This window comes from Homo sapiens, chromosome 8 (assembly GCF_000001405.40).
Source record: "Homo sapiens chromosome 8, GRCh38.p14 Primary Assembly".
In the NCBI taxonomy this organism is placed as follows: domain Eukaryota; kingdom Metazoa; phylum Chordata; class Mammalia; order Primates; family Hominidae; genus Homo; species Homo sapiens.
The window spans coordinates 74536345-74549832 of record NC_000008.11 but is presented as its reverse complement, the minus strand read 5'-3'; the positions used below and the strand labels follow the sequence as shown (position 1 = coordinate 74549832).

Genomic DNA, 13488 nt, shown 5'->3' with positions numbered 1-13488 from the left:
TTAATACAAAATGTTTTAAAACAAATAACTTTTAAAAAAAATTACTTTAGGCCAGGTGCAATGGCTCACGCCTGTAATCCCAGCACTTTGGGAGGCCAAGGTGGGCAGATCACGAGGTCAGGAGATGGAGACCATCCTGGCTAACATGGTGAACCCCATCTCTATTAAAAATACAAAATATTAGCCAGGCGTGGTGGTGCACACCTGTAGTCCCAGCTACTTGGGAGTCTGAGGCAGGAGAATTGCTTAAACCCGGGAGGCAGCGGTTGCAGTGAGCCAAGATTGCACCACTGCACTCCAGCCTGGGTGACAGAGCAAGAGTCCACGTCAAAAAAAAAAAAAATTACTTTTACTACAAGCAAACCCTGAAGCATCCTGGACAGTCTTGACCTGTGAGATACCCTCTTACTTCCACAGTCATGGAAACTATGCATTTTCCAGATGGCATATAAGACCCGATACCTATGTTTTTCTAGAATCCCTTTGCAGTGGACTTTTCTTCTTCCTAAGGCCCATGGTGCGTGCATGGTCTCTAATGAACAGATGGCACTTGGTCCCTGGATGAGCTCTTGTACCTGCAAATCTTGAGAGCTTGGAGACAAGCAAGAAAATCATTTCAGACCCTCTCCTCCACTGTCAGCACCACTTCCCCACCCCTTTCACCTTGATCTGCTTGGTTTTGTGTTTTTGGGAAAACCCACTAGTTATTGGTCACTACCTGCTCACAAGTCAATGTAATGCTCCCCGTCTTGTTTCCATCTTGGTTTTCCTTTGTTTAAGAGGATGAAGCCACTTAGGACCCCTATATGAATGAGACTTGTTTGGTTGAAAGTTGACCCAAAGTAATAAGTGGTTTATTGTAAAGAGGAAAGAGGTCTATAAATAGAAAACCCTGGGGGACTGAGGCTGGCCTCAGGACCAGGGAATAGCAGAACACAAGTGTGCAAGTCAGAGAACTAGCCAAGAGTTTATAATCAAGCTTCTAAACAGGAAGTCTCAATTCAACTTCAAAAATTACTTTATAAAGAATTCAAGTGCCATGAAGGCATGTTTTAACTTGGCTTCTTTGGCTCAGAATAGTGTATATTGGTATCTCTAGTGGCTATCCCCTTCCCATTGTTAAAAACAACATGTGAAAAATCCTACAAAATAGGTAAAACACATTTTAAAGTGCCATTGACTGCTGAGGCAACTCACTTAATATCAACAAGTCTCAGTTTTTGGAAGAGGTATTGCCACCCTTTCTAGTCTAATAGGGACTAGAAAGGGTGGCAATACTCTTCAAAAACTTCACAAGGAAGTTGTAAGGAATATATGAGATCATCTATATAAAGCCCTTTGTGAACAATAAATCACGATAAACATAGACTTGTTGCATCTATCATATCACTTAGGGTTTTTTTTTTTTCTCTCACAGATTAAGGTAGTTCAAAAAGGAAGCCAGAATTTTCACTTTCTCTTTATTTCTGCTCCCAAAGAACCGTCAATTGCTTAAGGGATTGCTCCCAAAGAGCCTGGAGGTAGAGGACAGGAGGAGGCAGTTGTTTATTTAGTTTTTTGAAATGTTTCCAAGGAGAATGAAAACTAAAATTTGTGTGTGTCCTTTTTCATTTGCCTTCTGTCTAAATTGGAGTGTGGACAAAGGGCAGCCGCTTTGCTAGATGTGGACATTTGCTGAGCAGTATACTGTGCTCCAGTTGCAGGTGGATAGTGCCTAGCACTCCTCATTAGCTCATGGTTCTGCATCACATTCTTCAAAGAGCTGCTAAAGCACCCACACACCACCTGCCTGAGGGTGCAGCCAGGGCTGAGTGACATAGTGTGTGCCTCTCCTGCAGGTGCATTAATAAGGAGCCACAGGGGTTATAAGAGGCAGAGGGCTGAGAAGATGTTTCCTACAAATGGATCCGAAACACAGCCTGTTTGTATATGTGCAATTCATTGGCTTCTTGGAAACAATCCTTTGCCCAAAGTAACAGTTTATAATCGTGAAAATGTGACTAAACTTTAAAAGTACATGAGGAAAAGGACTATTTCTATTTTGCCGAGTCCAAGTTGGATTTGACTTTGGCCTTTCCATATCCCAAATGGTATCCACTGTTTTCAGCATTTTGGCCCTGAGAACAGCTGGTGAAGAAATTGATTGAGCTCAGAACAATCCTTCAGATGTCTAGAATAATCAACCACCTTCCATAATTTCAGTCTTACTAACTACGTGATATGGAGTGCACAGAAATCTGATTGACAACTCAATTAGTCCAAATTCCAGTTTGCTGCCATCCACACATCCACAATGTGCACACAAAGGTCAGCTAGTTTATAGAAGAGAAGAAGAAATGGGAGATTTATAATCGAAGGATTAAAGTCGATCACTAATGATCACTATTTAAACAAGGACCTGCTGTTACTTGTTAAACAAGGAAAGATTTGGAGGCTTCCATTTGTTAATGTCATTCAAACATCTGCTGTACACATTCTACCAATGGGCTATGAGCCACAGAACCCAATTGTGACTGCTGGGAACAGTCAATGGGGCTCAGTAAACTGCCTTGAGGAAATGGTCTGCCACAAACATCTGTAGTTATTCTTCAGCTGAAAGGCCAATATTTCCAGGGCAGCTGGGTCCCTCTAAGTCAGTGATTCATAGCTTCAGCTGCACCCTGCAATCACCTAGGAGCTTTAAAAAGTACTGATGTTCATCTCATCCCCAAGACCCCAGGAACTTCCATTTAATTGTTCTGGGGTGTGACCAGGCACACAGGTGATTCTGATTTTCAGTCTGGTTTGAGAATTCTTGGTCCAAACAGACAGGACTTGGTAGCTGGAAGATGTAACCACCAAGCCTCCCATATAATTTAATTAGCACGGCAAATTTGGGCTCATTTGTTCTGCTGGATTCAGGCACTTCACTGGGCAGTGGAAAATTTCTCACCAATTCACTGCCCTTTTGCCTCCAGCTCACCGTTACTTTTTAAACATCTTATTTCCTTTTGTTATTTTCAGTAACCTTCTGTAATTGCAAAGGCTTTTTAAAAAATGTCTTTTTGGGGGCACTTCAGCATATTCAATTTGGTTTCCTTCATATTTTAGTTTGGCTTCATTGATATTTATTTTTTGTATTCTAGCTGTTTCTTGGATGGTTCTTATTTTTCTACTAGATTCATGTTATTTGCAAACACTATGCACAGAATCACTTCTGGTGAGAAAAGGGACAAGAAGAATAAAGTACTCTTATTTTCCCCATGACCCCACACCCCACAGAGTCACTGAGGCTCCCTTTTGTAGATACTAAATGGGAGAAGCATTAACCAGCTTCACCCATCTGCTAACCACCTTGTGCAAGGTGAGCCTTCTGGTCTCCCTGGAGCATGTACAGTGTGTAAAACCTGAGGTATTATTTAGACCTTGATGTGTTACTTGGCAACAAAAGAGGAAACAAGTATAATTTGTTAGATAATAATCTGGCACAAAAGTGCATACAAAGACAATTAGGAAATGTAAAACACAGATTCGTTTATCAGTTATAAGTATACCCAATGCCCTAAATGAGTAGACACTTAGTATCCACTTTAGCCAATGCAGCCATGATCTCCCTCTCCTTATGTTTCATTGTCTTTTTTATAAGAAGCTGGTGTGCAAGGTTGATTTCAAACCAGTAAATTGCATATGAGACCCAGCAAGCTCAGGATCAAAACACAGGCAAAAAAAATAACAGAGAGATTAGGTATTGAATGCAGGAAGGGGCCTTTTTCTTTTGCTTTTTTGTTTTTTACATCCACTTGACTTTGAACAAAAGTTGTTTATTGTTTTAATAAAACTAGACTCACAAACGTTGCCATGGCATGGACTCTGTCAGCATTTCCATTGTAACCGTTGCTTTTGGGGGGGTTTTAACTCAGCCATAAAACTTCCTCTGGGTTAAAATCTGGCAACCAAAAATAACTTGGAATCTCTAAGACTCAGCCATGAAGGAAATAGTTGTATGTGAGTGTGTGTTTATGTACCTTTTGAAAAAGAAAAAAAAAAGTTCATTTGATAATTCTTAAAGAAACATTGTAAAAATTTTTCCCTCTGACTTTTAAAGTTTTTAATTTTTAAAGCAAAATTTCATCTACACTCCATGAAAGGTACATTCACTTAAAATATTTTACCCTATTCAACATAACATAGAAATATATTTCTCTTTACCTGTTTTTATCTTTTCCAGCTTCCTACTAAATGCACTTATATAGTAAAGAGATTGCAAGTTTCTGTGTTAAATAAATCCAGTTTTATTACTGTATTGTCACAGTTTATCAGTCTTTTTCATAACAGTAATTCCCTTCGCCAAAATCCACAGAGCAGACCATGAAATGGCATGGGCTTTTGAAATCTCCCATCTGCTCAACTTTTCTCATAAACATATGTAAAATGATTAATTAACACAACAAATGAAAAGTCCTCAAAGGATTCAGGAAATGGGCAGGGTGAAAATTGGAAATAATTTGAAAATTCTAGTCTTACTTCTTCTCACTAACTTCATATGAAAACTTGAGCAAGTTTCATAACATCCCAAGAAATTACATTCTTCAAAAGGATGCATTGGGACTGTGTGAGTTCTTGTTGGTCCTACCTTTCTAAGATTTGAGTGTTGTGACATTTGCCATTTTGAGCTTCAATACCAATGTTCAAATATACTTTCTATTTATTGGAAATACCAAAATGGGTAAGAAGCAGAACCTTGCTTGAAGGAAAGGCAGGCAGTTCTAGCAGCTGGGAGAAGGATTGTGATTTCAGCATAGTAAATCAGTGTCTCAAGCCTGGGACTTTGAATCTCTTTAGAGAGTGATGCACAGGTTCAAAGCCATTCAAAGATCACTTGTCACATATATGGCAGCCAAGACTCCAGCATTGCTGTGGGGAGGGTCTAGCACAGCTGTTCCTAGTGGTGGAGTCTTAAACAGACTTCCTAAGATGATCTTGGCCATGCCTTACCTCTCTTTTATCCTACTACTTTCTTGAACATGGTTCCCCAACATCTCCATCAATGCTGTGAGCTATGTGGTATCCTTCTAATACATTCCCTTTTCATTTAACATTACCAGAAATAAGCTGGCATTATTTGTAATGAAGCATCTTAACCAGAAAAAAATAGAACACTTACCAGGACAAATTATTTTCTTTAAAATTCATATAGGATCTTACTTTTTAGTGTGCTCCTTGGATCAACAGCATTGGTATAACGTGGGAGCTGGTTAGAAATTCAGAATTGCCTTCCCATCCCAGACCCATTGAATCAGAATCTGCATTTTCACAAGATCCCAAGATAATCTGTACACATGTTCATATTTAAGAAGCATTAGCCTAGGGTAACCCTCTATTTAAAGCATAAAAATAAGTTTAGCACACACACTAAATTATAGATTATTACTCCTTTAGATATTACTGCCTCAAAATTTTGTTTTAGTTTAATGTCATACCTAGAGCCTATGAAAATGGAACAATAATATTCTTATAGGGAGGACCTAGATATTACTTATGCCTGTATTCTTCTGATAATTTTTCAAAAAGACTAAGCAACAAAGAGTCTGAGACATTGCTAGTGGCATCCAGAATTGAAAGCACCAGGAATCTCATAGAGCAAGTCATGGTAAATCCAGAGAACTGTTGATTTGTGATTTTTACCATCTCTTTGGGTAACCTGGGAAATATATACTTTATCCCTCTAAGACTATTAATAACTCTATGTGAAGTGGGCAATATCACCCTTACTTTAACAATGAGGAAGCTGAGAATCAGGGCGATTTATGTTTCTTGACCAATACCAGCAGGTAGTTCTTAGACTCTGGTCTTCAGACTCCGTGTTCATTTTATTTCATTACCCAGCAGTCTTTCAAGGAAGGCAAGAGGCTGGTGCTCAACAAAGAGCTACAGATAGTTATTGAATATTGAGGGTTGCAAGTTAGATTACATGTTTTAAACAATCCATCTCTTCTACAACATCTTAGTAGGAAGAACAAAAGATTTGGAGTCAAAAGACTTGGATCTTAGCATTATCACACACACTTATCATTCGTGAAACTGACAGTAATTTAGTGTCTAAGCTGACATTTCCTAACCTACAAAAGAAAGATAACCATTGCAGATATGAGAGTTCTGTGAAAAGTACTTTGAAAGAAAAGCAAAGAACTACAAAAATTAAGCTGCAATGCCATTATCAGCTGTCAGGGCTGATGAGCATGGCTTAACAGCAATCTGTGTCTCACAGTTAGAAATGAGAAATACCCCCTTAAAAATGCCATGTGGGAACCTGGAGAAAAGATTTCTAAGCTGGTCCCATCACCAGAAGTGGTTAAATGATCTGCATTTGCTATTTAAATTTTCCAATCTTGCCACTTTTCTGTTTTATCACTTAATGAAAGAGAGGTGTTAAATCAGCTTCTATGCTTGAGAATTTATCTATTTCTCTTTTTAGTTCTGTCAGCTTTTGTGTATATTTTGAGTCTATGTTATTACATGCATTCAAATTTAGAACTGCTATATCTTTCTAGTGGAGTAAACATTTTATCATTATAAAATGCTTTTCTTTTCTCAAATAATATTTTAGCTTAACATCTTGTCTAGCATCAATTTAGCTCTGCTAGCTTTTTAGTCTTTATATGGTGAATGTTTTTCTACCCTTTTACTTTTAGACTTTGCTATGTTCTTATGTTTAATGGTTTGCCTCTTAAAAGCAACATAGAGTTTTTAAATCTAGGCTGACAATCTTTATTTCTAATTTGTTCACTTAATGTAATTACTGGTATATTTTATTTTACATATGGAATCCTATTATTTGTTTTTATTTGTCCCTCTTATTCTAGGTTCCTTTGTATCTTACCTTATGTGTTATTATTTTTATATACAATATTTGATTATATTGTTTTTGTTTTATATTTTATTATTTTGAGATAACATTTTCCACTAGCCTAGTAGTTACTTTACTATTATTTTATGTGTATGTGGTTACTCTAGAGCTGTCGAGTCAAATACAATAGTCGTTAGCCATGTGTGGCAATTTAAATTTAAATTAATAAAACTTAAAGAAAATTAGAAATTCAATTATTCAGTTGCATTAGTCAAATTTAAATTGTTCAATAGCCACATGTGACTTGTGTCAGCATGTTGGATACCACATACATAGAATATAATATTTTTATCATGAAAGAAAGTTCTATTGGTAGCACTGCAGAGATGCCTGAAACAAATTAGTAGTTTCATCACTTTACATTATTCTTCACTCCCTTCCTAAATTGTTTGCTACTATTGTTCCTTTCAATTCAATATGTATTTTAAGGACCACAGACATTATTATGTCTTTTTTTTTTTTTTTTTTTTGAGACAGTCTTACTCTGTCACCCAGGCTGGAGTGCAGATCTCAGCTCACTGCAACCTCCGCCTCCTGGGTTCAGGTGATTCTCCTGCCTCAGCCTCCCTAGTAGCTGGGACTACAGGCATGTACCACCACATCCAACTAATTTTTGGGGTTTTTTGTAGAGATGAGTTTTCATTGTGTTAGCCAGGATGCTCTCAATCTCCTGACCTTGTGATCCACCTGCCTTGGCCTCCCAAAGTGCTGGGATTACAGATGTGAGCCACTGTGTCTGGCCTATTATATCTTTATATAGCCAATATTCACTCAGACTTACCCACATATCTACCTTTTCCATTGCTCTTCTTTCTTTTCAGTATCTCTGAGCTTTCATCTGAGACTATTTCCCTTCGGTCTGAAAAATACACCTAAGTGTTTTATTTAGCCTAGGTATATTGTTAAGAAATTCTCTTAGCTTCATTTGGAAATACCTTTATTTCACCTGTTTGAAGAATATTTTTGCTGGATGTAGAATTCTATTTTCACAGTTATTTTCTTTCAGTGCTTTGAAGGTATGCCATTGTCCTCTGGTTTCCATTTTGTTTGTTGAGAGTTGTTGAAGCCAACTCTCAGTCTATTATTGCTCCTTTGAAGTCCTTCTGTCTTTTTCTATGAATACTTTTAAGATTTTCTTTATTTTATACTTTTAAACATTTGAGTATGCAGTGCCTAAGTGTAGTTTGTTTGTTTAACTATTCTGATATAGCTTTCTAGCACTTCTTAAGTCTGTAGCTGGGTGTCTTTGATAAGTCTTGGAAAATCCTCACTCACTACCTCTTCAACTATTGTATCTGTCCCATTTTTTCTCACACTTTAATTTCTACAACTCCCATTCTATATATGTAAAAACTTTTCTCAATAGCCCTTTTACCTCTAATGCTGTTTTTTAAATTTTCCACCCTTTTTTCTGTCTCTACTTCAGCCTAACTATTTTCTTCCGATCTATCTTCTGACAGTCTAATTCCCTCTTCAACTCTCTCTAATGTGTTGTTATGCCCATCCCATGAAGTCTTAATTTTAGTCACTGAATATTTTTCATTTTGGAATTTTCATTAGCTCTTTTAGTGCTTTTCAGTGTTTTGCTAAATTTCCCAATTATTTTGTATTTTTTAAATTTTTTGAACATATTAAATATAGTTAAAGTACAGGTCTGTTAACCATCATTTAAAAAATGGTTTCTTGGGCCAGGCCCAGGGCCCCTGCTGCTCTGTGCAGCCTTGGGACATGGCACCCTATGTCCTAGGCATGGCTAACAGCAGCCAAAGTATATAGCTCAGGCCACTGTTTCAGAGGGTGCAAGCCCCAAGCCTTGGCAGCTTATAGGTGGTGCTCGGCCTGCAGGTGCACAGAAGTCAAAAATTGAGGTTTGGGAACCTCCACCTAGATTTCAGAAGATGTACAGAAATGCCTGGATGTCCAGGCAGAAGTCTGCTGCAGGGACAGAACCCTCATGGAGAACCTCTGCTGGAGCAACATGGAAGAGAAATGTGAGGTTGGAGCCCCCACACAGAGTCCCCACTGGGACACTGCCTAGTGGAACTGTGAGAAGAGGGCCACCATCCTCCAGACCCCAGAACAGTAGTTTCATCAACAGCTTGCACTGTGTACCAAAAAAGCTACAGGGCACTCAATGAAAGCCCACAAAGGAGCTGCCCAAGGCTGTGAAAGCCCACCCCTTGCATCAGTGTGCCCCATATTTGAAACATGGAATCAAAGGAGATCATTTTGGAGATTCAAGATGTAATAACTGCCCTGCTGGATTTTGGACTTAACGTGGGGCCTGCAGCCCCTTTGTTTTGGACAATTTCTCCCATTTGGAATGGGAACATTTATCCAATGTCTGTACACCCATTGTATCTTGTAAGGAACTAACTTGCTTTTTGATTTTACAGACTTATCGGCAGAAAGGGCTTGTTGTCTCTCAGATGAGACTTTGCACTTGGACTTTTGGGTTAATTCCAGAATGAGTTAAGACTTTGGGGTAATGTTACTGTTGGGAAGGCATGATTATGTTTTGAAATGTAAGAAAGACATGAGATTTGGAGGGGCCATGGGCAAAATGATATGGTTTGGCTCTGTGTTCCCACCCAAATCTCATCTCAAATTGTAATCCCCATGTTTTCTGGGAGAAACCTGGTGGAAGGTGATTGAATCATGAGGGCAGTTTCCCTTATGCTGTTCTCATGATAATGAGTGAGTTCTAATGAGATCTGATGGCTTTATAAGGGACTGTTCTCCCTTCCCTTGCTCTCTCACACTTTCCTGCCACCTTGTAAAGAAGGTGCTTGCTTCCCCTTGCACTCTGATTGTAAGTTTCCTAAGGTCTCTCCAGCCATGTGGAACTGTGAGTCAATTAAACCTTTTTCCTTTATAAACTACACAGTCTCGGATATTTCTTTATAGCACTGTGAAAATGGACTAATACAAGAATGAACAAAACCTCCAAGAAAGATGGGATTATGTAAAGAGACTGAAGCTATGACTGATTGGGGTACCTGAAAGAGATGGGAAGAATGGAACCAAGTTGGAAAACTTACTTCAGGATATTATCCAGCAGAACTTCCTCAACCTAGCAAAACAGGCCAACATTCAAATTCAGGAAATATAGAGAAATCCCAGTAAGATACTCCACAAGAAGATCAACCCCAAGACACATAATCACCAGATTTGCCAAGGTCAAAATGAAAGAAAAAATGTTAAGGGTAGCCAGAGACAAAGGCCAGGTCACCCACCAAGAAAGCTCATCAAACTAACAGTGGCCCTGTCAGCAGAAACTCTACAAGCCAAAAGAGATTGGGGGCCAATATTTAACATTCTTAAAGAAAATAATTTCCAACCCAGAATTTCATATCCAGCCAAACTAAGCTTCCTGAATGAAAGAGAAATAAGATCCTGTTCCAGACAAGCAAATGCTGAGTGAATTTATCACCACAAGGCCTGCACTGCAAGAGTTCCTGAAGGAAGCACTAAATATGGAAGGGAAAATCCATTACCAGTCACTACAAAAACACACTGAAGTACACAGACCAGTGACACTATGAAGCAACCCCATGAACAAGTCTGCAAAATAACCAGCTAGCATCATGATAACAGGATCAAATTCACATATAATAATACTAACCTTAAATGTAAATGAGCTAAATGCTCCATTTAAAAAACACAGAATGGCAAGCTGGATGAACAACCAAGACCCATCAGTATGCTATATTTAAGAGACCCATCTCTCATGCAAAGACAAACATAGGCTCAAAATAAAGGAAAGGAGAAAAATCTACCAAGCAAATGGCAAACAGAAAAAAAGCAGGGTTGTGATCCTAGTTTCTGAAAAAAACAGACTTTAAACAAACAAAGATCAATAAAAACAAAGAAGGGCAGAATTCTCAACCCCAAAACAACAGAATATATATTCTTCTCATTGCCATATGGCACTTACTCTAGAATTGATCACATAATCAGAAGTAAAACATTTCTCAGCAAATGTAAAAGAACTGAAATCGTAAGAGTTTCTCAGACCACAGTGCAATCAAATTAGAACTCAAGATTAAGAAATTCACTCAGAACCACACAACTACATGGAAACTGAACAACATGCTCCTGAATGACTCCTAAGTAAATAATGAAATTAAGGCAGAAATCAAGAAGTTCTTTGAAACTAATGAGAACAAAGACATAGTGTACCAGAATCTGTGGGATGCAGCCAAAGCAGTTTTAAGATGGAAATTTATACCACTAAATGTCCGTATCAAAAAGCTAGAAAGATCTCAAGTTAACAACCTCACATCTCAACTAAAAGAACTAGAGAGCCAAGAGCAAACAAATCCCCAAAACTAGAAGAAGACAGATACAGACACAAAAAACACCCTTCAAAAAATCAATGAATCCAGGAGTTGATGTTTTGAAAAAAAATAATAAAATAGATAGACCACTAGCTAAACTAATAAAAGAGAGAAGAATCAAATAAACACACTCAGAAATTATAAGGGGGATACAACCACTGACTCCACAGAAATACAAGCAACCATCAGAGAATACTATAAACACCTCTATGCACATAAACCAGAAAATCTAGAAGAAATGGATACATTCCTGGTCACATACACTCTCCAAAGACTGAAACAGAAAGAAATTGAATCCCTGAATAGACGAATAATGAGTTTTCAAATTGAGGCAGTAATAGCCTACCAACCAGAAAAAGCCTAGGACCAGATGGATTCACAGCTGAATTCTACCAGAGGTACAAGAAGATCTGGTACCATTTCTACTGAAACTATTCCCAAAAATTGAAAAGGAGGGACTCCTCCCTAACTCATTCTATGAGGCCAACATCATCCTAATACCAAAACCTGGCAGAGATACAATAAAAAAAGAAAACTTCAGGCCAATATCCTTGATGAACTCAATGCAAAAGTCCTCAAAAAAATGCTGGCAAACCAAATTTAGCAGCACATCAAAAAGTTTATCCACCACGATCAAGTAGGCTTCATCCCTGGAATGCAAGTTTGGTTCAACATATGCAAATCAATAAATGTAATTCATAACATAAACATAATTAAAAACAAAAAAACACATGATTATCTCAATGAATGCAGAAAAGGCCTTTGATAAAATTCAGCATCCCTTCATGTTAAAAAACTCTCAATAAACCAGGTTTTGAAGGAATATACCTCAAAATAATAAGAGCCACATATGAAAACCCCACAGCCAATATCATACTGAATGGGCAAAAGCTGGAAGCATCCCCCTTGAAAACAGGCACAAGACAAGGATGCCCTCTCTCACCATGCCTATTCAACATAGCATTGGAAGTTCTGGCCAGGGCAATCAGGCAGAGAAATAAAGCGTATTCAAATAGGAAAAGAGGAAGTCAAATTATCTTTGTTTGCAGGTGACATAACCCTATATCTAGAAAACCCCATCATCTCAGCCCAAAAGCTTCTTAAGCTGATAAGCAACTTCGGCAAAGTCTCAGGATATAAAATCAATGTGCAAAATTTACTAACAGAATAGAGAACTCAGAAGTAAGACCACACACCTACTACTATGTGATCTTTGACAAACCTGACAAAAACAATGGGGAAAGGATTCCCTATTTAATAAATGGTGCTGGGAAAACTGGCTAGCCATATACAGAAAATTGAAACTGGACCCCTTCCTTACACCATATATAAAAATTAACTCGATAGATTAAAAACTTAAATATAAAACCCAAAACTATAAAAACCCTAGAACAAAATCTAGGGAATATCATTCAGGACATAAGCATGGGCAAAGATTTCATGACAAAAACTCCAAAAGCAATTGCAACAAAAGCAAAACTTGACAAATGGGATCTAATTAAACTAAAGATCTTCTGCACAGCAAAAGAAGCTATCATCAGAGTGAACAGACAGCCTACCAAGTGGGAGAAAATTTTTGCAGTCTATCCACCTGACATAGGACTAATATCCAGAGTCTACAAGGAACTTAAATTTACAAGATAAAAACAAACAACCCCATTAAAAAGTGGACAAAGGACATGAACAGACACTTCTCAAAAGAAAACATACATGCAGCCAACAAACATATGAAAAAAAGCTCAACATCACAGATCATTAGAGAAATGCAAATTAAAACCACAATGAGATGCTATCTCACACCAGTCAGGATGGCTATTACTAAAAAGTTAAGAACAACAGATGCTGGTGAGTTTGTGGAGAAATGGGAATGCTTTTACACCATTGGTGGGAGTGTAAATTAGTTCAACTATTGTGGAACAGTGTGGCAATTTGTCAAAGACCTAGAGGTAGAAATACCATTTGACCCAGCAATCCCACTACTAGGTATATATCCAAAGGAATATAAATCATACTATTATAAAAATACATGCACATGTATGTTCATTGCATCACTATTCACAATACCAAAGACATGGAATCAACTTAAATGCCCATAAATGGTAGACTAGATAAAGAAAATGTGATACATGAACACCTTGGAATATTATGCACCATAGAAAGGAATGGGATCATGTCCTTTGCAGGGACATGGATGGAGCTAAAAGCCATTATCCTCAGCAAACTAACACAAACAGAAAACCAGACACCACATGTTTTCACTTA

At 37.9% G+C, this 13488-nt stretch overlaps 2 non-coding genes across 2 annotated transcripts; one reads left to right on the top strand and one right to left on the bottom strand.

Annotated features, from left to right (window-relative positions):
• Window positions 1-1215: 1215 nt before the first annotated feature.
• On the bottom strand, window positions 1216-1290 carry MIR5681A (microRNA 5681a). Its single transcript, NR_049860.1, has one exon. It is a non-coding gene; the product is annotated as a microRNA 5681a (primary transcript).
• MIR5681B (microRNA 5681b) lies at window positions 1224-1283 on the top strand. Its single transcript, NR_049871.1, has one exon. It is a non-coding gene; the product is annotated as a microRNA 5681b (primary transcript).
• Window positions 1291-13488: the final 12198 nt, after the last annotated feature.